The 13604-nt window shown below is 39.3% G+C and overlaps 1 protein-coding gene across 173 annotated transcripts in view; it reads left to right on the top strand.

The window, feature by feature from the left end:
- The window catches only part of PTK2 (protein tyrosine kinase 2), a 344180-nt gene that overhangs the window by 170761 nt on the left and 159815 nt on the right, over window positions 1–13604 (top strand). For 167 of the 173 annotated variants that reach the window (NR_148039.2, NR_148038.2, NR_148036.2 and 164 more), the window contains 3 exons: window positions 793–847; window positions 12299–12439; window positions 12965–13042. Coding sequence is in view for 159 of the 173 variants with exons in the window: in NM_001352699.2 (NP_001339628.1) it covers window positions 793–847; window positions 12299–12439; window positions 12965–13042 (274 nt within the window). In the remaining 14 variants the exon portion in view is untranslated. The remainder of the gene's footprint in view (window positions 1–792; window positions 848–12298; window positions 12440–12964; window positions 13043–13604) is intronic. The other 6 variants (NM_001387592.1, NM_001387604.1, NM_001387616.1 and 3 more) reach the window with 1 other exon arrangement.

Genomic DNA, 13604 nt, shown 5'->3' with positions numbered 1-13604 from the left:
TCAGAGGCATTATTTCACATTGCTAGCACACGAGTGACACCTAGTGGCCAAAACATCTGAGTAAGTTAGTAACCAAAGTACTAGGAAAAGAATCAGCTATTCTTTCCAACCTATTTTCTTGGCCAGAGCGTTGAGGTTCTTGATAATAATGATCAATTTAATTTTGTTGCCTGACTTAAAGAACATTGCTGCGATTTCCAGCATTTCCATAAATTCACCTTTTTTACCTAGGGCATAAATTTATCTGTTTGTTTTTTCCTAATGTGAAACTGAGACAAGTGAATGAGTCACTTAATCAAAAAAGTCTATTTTTAAAAATAGTCAACTTTTAGGATAAACCTAAGGGATTTATTTCTGTAACTTCTCGGGTATATCCTGAATCATTTACTAATCAGGCTAGCTATTTTCTCTACAAATACAGTATTACCCAGTTGGAAGTGATGTTTATAACCTTCAAGAAATATCTGAAAAAGGACAGTTTTTAATACACTATAATTTACAAAGAGGGAATATTTTAGAAGAGTTTTCAACAATAAAGGTAAAAAAAGAAAAAACCAAAAGGATTTCTATTTAAACCAACTTGTATTCATGTTTCCAGTACATATCTAGAAAATGATTTGTCCCATCCTTCCTGTGAATATACTGGTAAATTAAAGCATTATTATACTTGTTTCCTTCCTAAATAATATATGGAAGGATAAATAATTTACAGTGCTTTTATGTTCTTGCAAGTTTGTCATATTAATTGATTTGGTGGTGTTATTTGTTAATACGCTTCTTTTTATATTTCAGAAAAGATGTTGGTTTAAAGCGATTTTTTCCTAAGAGTTTACTGGATTCTGTCAAGGTAATTAGAGTCTCCTTTATCATAATAAAATAACAAAATTATGCCAAGACCTTTTCCCCAGTGGTAAATTGCTTTTGGGAAAGTAAAATGTAGTTTCCTTCCTTACATGTAAAATATATAATTTAAAAAGCTGACATTTATTCTAGTCACATTAATGGCAAATAGGTTTTTAGTATAGCTTTCTCCCATAAAACATGGTTTTACTTCTTAATTGTGTTTGATACTCTGCTAAGCATAAAACTAAAAAAGTTATGTGCACAGTTATTCCTGTCATCTAGGTCTTCACAGGCTAAAATATTTTGACATGCAGAAGAAAAGGAGCAATATGTAAAATAATCGTGGTGGTGGAATCATTAATATTGTGTGTGTGTGTGTGTGTGTGTGTGTATGTGTGTGCGTGCATGTTAGTGCATTTTGAAGGTCTGTCTTTTGTTTCAACCCTTTGGATGCTTCCCCGCATTAGTAGCTTTGGCAGAGCCTCAGTTCTTATCCTTCCCATATCCAGCGTGGAGAGCACCTTGGAGTGAGGTGGGAGGACTCTGAATGTGTGATTCCCCCAGCTAATCCAGAGCACACATCAAGATTTTCAAGCGCAGCAGGGGATACAAACTTTAGGGTTAAGGCAGAGTCTGGCTCAGATGAGCTCTGCCATTTTCTAGCCTCAGGGTCTTGGGCCTGGTTTCTTATTTCTACAATGAAGAAAATAGTATTTTGTAGGGTTGATGTGAATATTTAACAGATTAGTAAATATATTACTTACCACAGTACCTGTCACATAGCAACAGTGGATGTTACTGCTCTTACTTTTTATTTTTCAAAGATCTTATTCTACATCCCATCAGCTGAAGCCCAAGCAGGAGAAGATACTCATTATGAGAAAATGTAGCTAACTTTGGATAAGTTATTTCATCTTTTGGTATTTCAGTTTACACATCCGTAAAATGGGGATAAAATCCATTTCTAACACGAGATTAATAAGAGGATTAAATCTTAGAAAGACCAAAAGAGAGAGAACTGTCGACGTCATGTTGATTATCATTGGGCCGGAGTGTTGGTATAATTTATCAGATGCAATCTGTGACAAAAGCTCTGTATTCAGATATCTGGGTCCTGCTCTCTGTCAAACCCATCCAGAATAGGACTGTAAGGATTAGTCACTGTTTCCCTGAGTCCAGAAAGTAACAGTATCCCTTCCTCTCTCACATAGCTTCTTGATAATCTAATGGGAAAAATAGATATAAAGGTGTTGGCTTTAAAACACAATGCATTCTAGAAATGCAATAAGACGTGCATTTAAGAATAGTACAGGAAAAATATACTCTTTATTTCAGGCTCTCTTTCTAGTGATGCTGCTCGACTTTTTCAGTGTTCATTCAAGTTTCCTGATCTATTAGTGAAATACTACAGTGAATTATTAGGGAACAGAGCATACTCCATTTAGTGTGGTTGAGGCCAGGACTACAGATCGAGACACTGTCCCAGTCTACAAGTAGCCCACAGACCATTGGCATGAGTGGGTTGAGTCAGATTTGAAAGAGAACAAAGAGTTTTAAATGAAGTTTGGCACAGTGGAAGGGGAATGAGAGAGAATGACACAATTGTGTCCTTCGAGAGAGTTATTAGGTGTGGGTGGCCCATACTCTTGCAGTTGGGAGAATGGGAGATTCAGTTTGACCTGGAATGTTTTTGGTGTGGGAGCCGAGAAGGCATGGGAAGACCCTTAAGTGGAAGGGATGCTGCTGTGTGTAAACCTGCTGGGTGCTGCAGTGAGGAGGATAGTGGAGACATTCAAACAAGTGTAAGCTACAGTTTTAGTGAATTTACATTGCTGTTGGATAGAAGAGTACTCTACCCAATGTTCTGTTGATGGTTATGTCACATTAGTAGTATTGGTCAGGGGTTTTCAGTTGTGAAGCACTGGTTTATGAAGCCTCAGAATTATTGCAAAGTCTCCTTAAATCTGTATGTGTATAAACAATTAGGAAAAGAGTGACTGTTGTCATTTAGGAGTCCAATACATTCTAGATTTTTAAAGGATCCCCATATTCAAAACGGAACCACAGGTACAGGTCACAGGTGCCATGGTGTGAGTGTAGCCAGAGTGAGACAGGTGCCCAAAGAGGTTCGGTAGAGGACTGGCCCTGTCTCCTCCATGACTGGTCCTTCTGAACCTCTGCTTCAATGTTCCCTCTCCTACTCTTTTCTCACCACGCAAAGTGGAAATGGCAAAATACTCCCTTCAATCTTGGGACCCTGTTTAGTATCTTAATTTTTAATTCTACTTTCTCTTTTTTTTTTTTTTTGTTGAGACAGAGTCTTGCTCCATCGCCCATGCTGGAGTGCAGTGGCGTGATCTCGACTCGCTGCAACCTCCTCCTCCCGGTTCAAGCAATTCTTCTGCCTCAGTCTCCCAAATAGCTGGGACTACAGGTGCCTGCCACCACACCTGGCTAATTTTTTTATTTTTAGTAGAGATGGGGTTTCACTGTGTTGGTTGGGCTGGTCTCGAACGCCTGAGCTCAAGTGATCCACCCACCTTGGCCTCCCAAAGTGCTGGGATTACAGGCGTGAGCCACTGTGCCTGGCCTCAATTTTTAATTATGTAGTTTGTTACTTGTTTGTATTTTATCTGCCTTCCTCCGCTATATTTTAAGATTGTTGAGGGCAAAGACAATATCTGTTGCTGTCTCCACTCTACACCCTTTGTTTGACATTGTACCTGGCACGTAGTAACATTTGGTAAATCCTACTTAATGAATAACAGCAATATGATGAGTAAAATAAGGGGAGACACTTTCTGAACACTGAGTACAATGTGAACAAAAGGTGTGAAGACAGGATAAGACTTTAGAAGATAGTAGAATTGAAAAGCTAGAAAGTTTCTTTCCTTGGTTATGCCTTCCCTACTGCTCTCCATCCCCACCCCCCTAAAAAAAACCCTCCTCTGCAGGAAATTTGTGCAGGTATCTTAAGATATGTTTCCAGGCTATCGTTTAGGCTTCCATTGCCCTGGCCTTTGCTGCTGATGCCCATGTGCTTTTTTTCCTGCCATCTTGAGCTGTACCTGGGTATCAGATAACTCCTGGTGGCCAGAGAGGGCTCACACCCTAGAAACAGCGAGCCCTGATAGCCAGAGAGGGCTCACACCCTAGAAACAGCGAGCCCTCTCTGTTTCTAGGCTGTCTAGGAAACAGAGGTCAGACAGGAAAGGGGGTTTTGGTTGAGTAGAGTCAATATGGGATCATTGTGGGCAGTCACTTGGTGTGGGCTTAAATGCTGAGGTAGGAGTTGAGGGGGATTGGGGACTCATTGCAGAGTGTGTAGAGTATGCAGAGAGTGCAGAGTGTGCAGTATGATCTCTTTTTGGATTCTAGAATATAAATTTGACAGCAACATGGAGCACAGATTGAAAGCAAAAAGAACCAAGAAGACTTGGGAGGTGATTAAGGAAGATGAGATGTGCAATGATCAAGGCCTGGATGGAATGGCTTCTGTAAGAATGGGAGGGAAGGATGACTAGAGGGACTTGAGAAAACTTCTTTTCCTTTTTTTTAGAGACAGGGTCTCACTCCGTCGCCCAGGCTGGAGTGCATTGGCGCGATCTTGGCTCACTGCAGCCTCGGCCACTCAGGTTCAAGCAATTCTCCTGCCTTAGCCACCTGAGTAGCTGGGATTACAGGCATGGACCACCATGCCCAGCTAATTTTTGTATTTTTTTCTGTAGAGACACGGTTTTACCATGTTGCCCTGGCTGGTCTCAAACTCCTGACTTAAGCCATCCACCCGCCTCCGCCTCCCAAAGTGCTGGGATTACGGATGTGAACCATCACACCCAGTCCAGAAAACCAAATAACAGATGTGCTTTTTGAGCAATTCAATTGCTGCTGATTTTGATGTAAATAGAATTAATTTTTAGCTACTGTTAGCTATGGATTCATCAGATTTATGGAGTGGCTCATAAATACGGTTCTTAGAACTGGTTTCTCACATGCCCTTTTTAATAAGGGAATCACTGTAATTTTGTGTACCCAATAGTGTGTATTTGGCTTAGGAATTCATAACCTTAGCCCAAGGTTTTTTCACATTTGACATAAATTCTTTGGACATTGCACTGATTGCCATGAAACTTCTATGGAATATGGTACCAACATATGCTCATGGGGGTAACAACTATAATACAAATTAGGTGGTGTCTAGACAGTCCCTTCTTCAAAGCTATTGCCAGTGAAACTTCAGCTAGCTAGAAATTCACACCAGTTTCTTGTTTCTTCTGAAATAGCTCTATAGAATGGCTAAGTCAGTTAACATTGGCTTTTCCATAAACAGGCTACATTTGTTTCTCCAAAAATCATTTTGTTTTACCTGATTTTTTTTCCCTTTCTATTTATATTCGTAGAAGATTATTTATAATTAACATTCACATTGAATTGTTGAAAGATTGTTTTATTATCTTTAGTGAAACTTGGATTAGCTATGTTTTATGCCAAAAATGGAATCTGGGATATATGTGCCTCAATTACTAAGAATAATTTGCAAGTATTTTAATTTCCGTCTCGTTGATGTTAGTAGTTTTAAAGACACATTTAAAAATTCACTGTACCAGTAAAACTGTCAAACCCAAATTGAGGGACATTCTACAGAATTCTGATGATTACTCTTGAAAAATATCAAGGTCATGAAAGATAAGACCCAGAAGCTGTTTAACAGCTGGAGGAGGCTGAGGAGACAAGATGTGTAAATGCAGTGTGGAATCCGGAGCAGTGAAAGGACATTAGTGGACAACTAGTGAAACTGGAGTCACTTCTGTAGTTCAGTGAATGTTGTCCTACCAGTGGGTACCAAGGGTGCTCCCCATACTGGCATTACAACTCTACTCTGAGCTTAAATTAGGCAGCAAGTCAAAATAGGCAAATTTTAATTTATTGCAATATAATGCACAGTAGAAACCTAATTTCAGAACTAGAAATGTTAAGAGATCAATAGTTATCAGTTTTTTTAGTATCTGATTCTCAAGTAATAATGTGGTTTCCTAGAATACTACCAGGAACACATGATTTTATTCTTGGAGAAAATAGTCATTATTTTCATTTCTAGGATGAGCAGATGACTATTTTAAGCTTAATATTTTCACCAAGCACAGAAATGCATATCTTGGTACGATGTTCAGCAGTGAATTCCTGTTATCTGCTGTATGCCAGGACCTGAGTTGGGGATGCTGGGTGGGGAGTGAAACCTGGCCTCTGCTTACAGAGCTTATCATCTGATGTGGGTCCTGTAGATAGGAGTAAGAAGAGGCTCTCTTCACGCGCTGTTAATGTATCTGCATTTAAAGCATTTGGTGTTTGGGTTGAGAAGTTATTCCTTAAAAACTCTCTTATTGCAGATTTTCCTTGGCATTGCCTTACAACCTTTGCATCTGGGAAGTCCTAGGAATCTATTGTTGCTAGCAGCATCTGATAATCATTAGGTTGACTAATAGGAAGTTATTTTTGTAGCTCAACATGGATGAATAGCAGCAGTTTCTTATGGTTCATCCTAGCAATACCACTTCATTTTGAAGAAGTATCACATTCTTAGTAAATTTATCACTATATGTAAATTGGTTTAAAATAAAATAGTGTGCGTAGATGCCTTGTTTCCAAAATCCAGGTTAACACAAGCAGGTGTTCAAACTTGAAATGCAATGAGAACAGTCTTGTTTACTTAAACAAGTTCTGCAAGTGTATTGATTAATATCCAGAGATTCTACACAGATTTTGTGGAATTTTGTTCCCCACTGAGTAATTAGGAAAGAACTAATGCTTTCTAAGATATCCTTTTCGTAAAAACTGATTTTGGAGTTTCAGACAGCAGAGATTTTCTAGTTTCTGTCCAGCACTGAACACCATAGGTTTGGAACTCACAGTCCTCATTGGCAGTCGCATTTAAGTACAGACCATAAGAACTTGGGTATATTCCTGCCAAAGGCGCCAACAGTTTTAGTTGGTGGAGAATGAGAGAGTTGTTTCTGTGTCCATAGGAAACTAACTCTGAATGATATCGTTTTCCTTTACTCCAGCTGCTTGAGCTTACTGGTTTGTTGTGTTGTTTGTTGCTCTCACTTCTTGGGTCTCAGCTTGTTAATGTGTAGGATGAGCAAGGTAACACCGCCTACAGAAAAAGCAGCATGTTTTCCCACATTCAGCTGAATGAGACAAATACAGTAAAATTGGAGTCCAGATTGTCTCTTAACATTGCATAGTTATTACTTTCAAACACATTTGCCCCAGTTACTTGGAAATTTTCCAGCAGATTAAATTATCGGGGAGAGCAGTTGAGTTCTTTACCACCACACACATTCCATGTCTAAGAGTTTGGGATGAGAAAATGAGGATCAAACCAAATTGACTCACTTTATTTAGCAAAGGGTTGATGGCTTCAATCCCTGTTGTAGAAGAACAGCACACAACTTCTTTTTAAGATTCTTAGTCATCAGATGCTGAGAAATAAGAGGCCAAGAGAAACAAGGAGGGCTTGAATTTAAAGGAGGCAGAGGGTAGAGAGTTGTTGGGTTACATTTGAAGAATGTTACGGGCGTAAAGTCTAACAGGACTTAGCTACTGGTCTAATGTGGGAGGAGGAAGAAGAAAATACAGGGCCTGGCCTCAGATTTCTGTCCCATACACTTAAGTGCTGTCTAGTGCTACTAGTCAAGAGACAATATTGAAGCAGAATCTGAACTGGGTGGGACTGCCCGTGATGCATTCAGCTGTGTAAGTAGTGAACTAGAAGTGCCTGGAGACTATGGGGGTCAAAGGGAAGGGGTATAGGAAAGAGTAAGTTCAGAGTGATAGAGTTGCAACCAAGTTAGATGTATATGTTAGGGTCCAGTCGGGTAGGGCCAATAAGCCACCACGGCTGAAATCTCAGTGCTCTTAGTGGCAGGTTTTAGATGTCTGTGAGAAACTGCAGTGGAACTGTCAGGTAGGCAGGTGTGTATATATATATATGCATTTTAACCTCAAGAGCAGATTCTGTTTCCTCGACTTCTATCTCCGTTACTTCATAGAATGTTTTAGGTTAATTTTAAAAAGCATTGAACAAATGAGCAGGTGTCAGTATATTATAATATTGCCAATAATTTATATATAAACCAGCAGCTGGTTGGGAATTAGGTACAAAGTAGAGAATTGACTTTTTTTCTGTACCTATTTTACATAATTTTTGATCACTGCATGTCAGTATTTACCTGAGTTGAAATATTCCTCTTAGAGTCATGAATGAATATACCAACATTTGGTTAATGTTAATAGAAATGTTTTGTCATTGTGTTCTGGTCCCTGTGTTCAGTTGACAACTGTTCCTTGCAACTGCTACCATATTCCAATTTATTGTATCATACACTTAAAGAGATTTTTTTATATTCCAGGGCTTTTGCTGGACTTATTTTCTATTAATACTTGTAGATGGGAGACATTTCTTACACTCAGAGCATTTGTACATTGAGGCAGCATGTTCTATGATAGAAGTTTGAAACTAAAGAAATCTGAACTGTCTTCCCACTTACTTACTAGAAAGTGAAACCTAATTTATCACAGGATAGAACTAGATTTTATTCATCCATATTATCTGTTTGAGAGTTTGCCAGAATCCAAGTTGTTATGGCAGAGACATGTAATTATTCATTGTAAAAGCACATCATTGAGTTTCAGCTGCGGGCTATACTCTTTTCTTTGGGGTAACAAGGCAGTGCATGCTCCCTTATCACCAACGTGGATCTTATATAAGTGCCATGTCTAAAAATACATTCAAAGCAGTATGAGACCCATAGGGATGTGGTGGTTGTTTCTTCCTGGTTTCTTCTATCAAGCAGAGCATCTTAGAAAAGGAGGTGTTTGAATTGGTCTCATAGCAAGTAAAAAGAAATCAAGTAGTTCTGGATTAGAATCACAATTCTTGTACCCCCTCGTTGTTACCTAATGTTTCAGTCTCTGTTTGCTCAGTAATATATGAAAAATAGTATCTCCCTTGCAAGGGTCATTGTGAAGACTTTGTTTATTTCCACGGAAGGGCCTACAGATGTCTTTTCTGGTATCATTTTTTGGTAGTGTGTGTGTGTTTGTGTGTGTGTGTGTGTGTGTGAATCAGCGCCTAATAGCACTATATGCACAGAATTATACTGTTCCTCCTGTAGCCATGAATGAAGATCAGAATGCTCTTTTTCCAGCTGTACTCTGAATTTATTGAGAATAGATACCTGTTCTGATTATGCAGTGTATGCCAAGTGCCAAGCACAGAGTAGAATTTCCTTAGTGGATTTGTTCTAGGTCCAGAGTGTAGCGGGCCTGCTTCTTAGAGACTGCTTTATATTCAGCAAAGTCCCAAGGTACTATATTGTTAATTTATAAGGAGAAAAACATCATGTAGGTGGCTACAAGCAGTACTCAAATCTCCATGTCCAATCTGCATGCTCTGTTGTAGAGTCTGTCCTACATAGGTGATCATAAGCAGAGAATGTTTAGAAAGCCTGGAGTCAAACCAAGAATATGCTTTTCGGACTTTTGTTTATAGAGCATCTGAGGCTGACCACCTCACTTTCCATGTGATACATTTTATAGTCAAGCCTTGCTAACCTTGAACCCATTTTATTGCTCTTCAGTTTAAGTTCTGTGAAGCTGTAATTAATCCTTTTCAAAACAGCTATAATTCTCTTATTCCACTCTGTCATACTCACCTGTCAAAACCTCAGCCCTGGTTAAAACCAACTATTGGTCAGCTTACTTAGCTTTGGCCTTCTCTTTTGTCTTCATTTTATTTGCAGGTGCCATCTAGTCCCATGTATTTAAATACTTCAGCTGGTGGCTCTGAAATTTCTAGCAACAGTGCTGCCCTCTCCTGAGCTCCAGACTTAGATCCAAATGTCTCCTTGATGGTTCATGTTGGAAGACTTCAAGGTCAAACACATGTACAGGGTTAACATGACTTTATTTTTTTCACCAAGCCTGCCTCTTATGTTTGCCTGTTTGTTCCATCTAAAACTCTACTTTTCCTGGATTCTTTACTTTCCAGTTGTCTTGCATATGATCATCCAAATGTCCCAAAAGTGCCCATTTCTCTTCTTCACCACTACCTTGGGGTCCATGCCACTAGTGTTTTCTTGCTTGATCTGTTACAGTGACCTGACTGGTCTTTCTGCTTTCACTCCTACACACTCCCCCAACCCTCTGTGTGCAAGAGCAGAGCGAGCTTTTTAAAATAAAAGTCACATGCCTTAGGTAATCCTCCCATGTTCCACTATCTTGGCTCATTGAATTCCTGTCTTCAGGAATCTTGTCCTCTGCCTTACCTCAACCTCTCACTCTGGTCTTATTCATTTCCAGTAATCGAACCCCCTCCCTAATTGTGTGTATCCTTCTCTCTGACCATAGCTCCTGTCTTTCCAGCTCACTTTCTGTAGTATCCCAGATCCAGTAATCCTTGGATCCTACTAGGACCTTCAAGCCACTACAGACAGGCTATTACCTCCATGACCCCACCAAAGTATGCCATGCCCTCCTAGTTTACGGTGTACCTGACTTAGCAGCCACACCTCAACCTGGGCCCCTGGCTGCTCCCCATGTCCCTGACCCACTGAGATTAGCAGGTCACCTAATCCATCTTCCCTGTCTGCTGGGCCAGCCAGGACCTCCCCTTGAACTCCACTGGGCCCTTACTGGCCTGCTTGACAGCTCCACTTGGATTTCTGGTATTCTTCTGGCATTCTTTCTGACCTTTACCCACCAAACTGCTCCTCTCACAATTTCTGCCATTTCAGTTTAATGGCAACTCTTAATTATTAGCATATCCTGTTGGTTCTATGTTTAAAGTAAATCCATTGGAGTCCAGTTACTCTGGAAAAAAAAAAAAAAAAGAAGAAGAAAGAAAGGTAGGGTCTGACTACTTGACTACTTCTCACCCTCTTTCTGGTTCTGTACTTGTGCCATCTGTCTCCTCCTGCCTGGATTATTTGGGTTGCCCTGACTTGGTCTCTCCTGCTCCTTTCATACTGTTCACAACACAGTGGCCAGAGTATCCCTGTTAAAACATAATTCAGGCCGGGTGCGGTGGCTCATGCCTATAATCCCAGCACTTTCGGAGGCTGAGGCGGGTGGATCTCTTGAGGTCAGGAGTTCAAGACCAGCCTGGCCAACATGATGAAACCCTGTCTCTACTAAATATACAAAAATTAGCCAGGTGTGGTGGTGCACACCTGTAATCCCAGCTACTCAGGGAGGCTGGGGCAGGAGAATCGCTTGAGCCTGGGAGGCAGAGGTTGCAGTGAGCCGAGGTTGCGCCACCGCACTCCAGTCTGGGCGACAGAGTGAGACCCTATTTAAAAAAAAAAAAAAAAAAAAAAAAAAAAAAAAAAAAAAAAAACCAAAGTCAGATAAAGTCACTCCTCTTCTCAAAGTCTCCTGAGGGCTTGGCATCTCATCAGAGTCAAAGCCAACTTGTTAACTATGGCCTACATTCTCTTGCCCCTCTTCATTAGACCTCATCACATTCCCTTTATCCATGGCCTTCTCAGACTGCTTCACACACCAAGGACTGGGGGTTTGCTGCTTGGAAAGCATTTACCTCTGCTATGCAGATTTCCATGTGTTTAAGTAGAAAACTCAAATAAGCGAAAAAGGACTGGAAGACCACCTATCATCTTACTTCATGAAAAAAGCAAAAGCATCGTTGCTTTATCTCCTTCATGGGTACATTGCTGTGTGCTCACCAGGACCCACACGTGTGCTCTTGCCTTTTAAAGGCATCTGTACTCCATGCTGACTGTTTTGTCATCTTTTTTCATGTAACAATGTAATATGGGTTTTAATGCCAGTAGATTAGTTCTCCAAAACAGTTCTTGAGGCTGCATAGAATGTTGGTTGAGAAGATAGATACACCATAGTTTACGTAACCAGGCTCTCTATTACTGTAAACAGTTCTGCAGTGAATCTTTTTGTTCCTGAATCTTTGCATGTATCTCTAATCATTTCTAAAGAATAATGTCCTGGAATTTTATTTTATGGATAAGCATTGTGGTTTTTTTAAAGTTTTTGATTTGTGCTTTCCTTCAGAAAGATATACTGTTTTTTTCCCTCCTAACAGTGGAATGTGCAAGTACCTTTATACCTTTGGCCTGGTGTTTTCTGAGTCATGTGCACATATAGTACAAACTTCTGTTTAAGAAATAAAACTCTATATATGAACTTTACAGTTAAAAATGGTTAAGATGGTGAATTTTGTGTTATATGCATTTTGCCACAATTAAAAGAATAAAGCTTTGATAAATACATTTATAGTTATTTGACAAGTATACTTTTTGGCAGTAATTTGAATGTAGGTGTTAGTAAGTAGTTGGTAGGAAAGAAATCTTACCATTATTGTTGTGGTCTTTACTCATTGCTGATTTTTACAAGATGTTTTGGTAATTTTGTCATGCAGGCCAAAACACTAAGAAAACTGATCCAACAAACATTTAGACAATTTGCCAACCTTAATAGAGAAGAAAGTATTCTGAAATTCTTTGAGATCCTGTCTCCAGTCTACAGATTTGATAAGGAATGCTTCAAGTGTGCTCTTGGTGTAAGTATGGGAATATGGGAAATAGTGGGCTAGTTTGATTTTACTTTTTCTTGTCTCTTGCTGTATATCTAAATTTCTGATGAAAAAATGCTAACTTGTCCCATTTTTTTCAATAAAATGATATTTTTTCATTTTACCATGTGAAAAATAGAAAAAGAAAATAATTAATGTGAGAATAAAATCACCTTTTTAAAAACAGCATGCCTAGCTTCATAATTAGGTTTTTAAAATTTTATCCCTGTGATTTGTTAATTGTTCTCTAAGGGCTAGTTTACCTATTTAGATAATCATCCCAGAGAAACCCTTGGCATCAGGCATGCTGGAATAAGCACAGTGCACTTTGTGCAGGCTTAACACATCCTGGGTCAATGAAGTTATAAATATTTTATCTTATTTGGTTAGATAGATTAATAGCAAACCAAACCAGCCCCTGCTTTGGTCCTTTAACATATCCACGGCTCTTTATCTAAAGTATTTCTTTTTTCCTTCTGCCACCTCTGTTCTCACTTGTTTCACCTTCAAAAGTCAAGCTGGATTATTTCAGTGGAACTGGCAATCGGCCCAGAAGAAGGAATCAGTTACCTAACGGACAAGGGCTGCAATGTAAGTCTGCTCTGACCTTTCGGGAACTTGGCGTTACACAAAGAAGAATCAAATTAAGGAAATGGGGCATTCTTTTGGAAAAGATCATTTTACAATTAAATTTTCCTATTGCACTGCATTTATTGTTCAGTGGAGTGGGGGACAAGTAAGAGAAAGTCTAGGTGCTGTTGAAATACCTCGGAATTACTTAGTTTTGGAAGGAAAGGAATCATACAAACCTAACATGTGTTAGTGAGACCTGAATGGGGTTGTTACTGTTTATCTGGAGAAGTTTTAAATACTAATTTTTAAAATTAAGTTCTGAATGATTTGGGTATATTTGTACTGGCATCTTACCCTTTGAAACAGCCTCTTCAGGTTATTTCCAGGAAAAAAAAAAATTATACATTCACAATTCTCTTGAAAGCCTTATTAACCTTATTTACCTCGAAGAAAAAATGTCCATCAGATGGAAACTCACACTTCTACCCCACACCTCACTTCTTTTGTTATCTTCCTAGCAGAAGTGCTGACCATTTCCTGTGTGATCCTCATTCTTCCAACAAGTATTATTGAGAACCTG

This window comes from Homo sapiens, chromosome 8 (genome assembly GCF_000001405.40).
Source record: "Homo sapiens chromosome 8, GRCh38.p14 Primary Assembly".
NCBI lineage: Eukaryota > Metazoa > Chordata > Mammalia > Primates > Hominidae > Homo > Homo sapiens.
The sequence above is the reverse complement of the archived record's forward strand: the minus strand, read 5'-3'. Positions and strand labels throughout refer to the sequence as shown.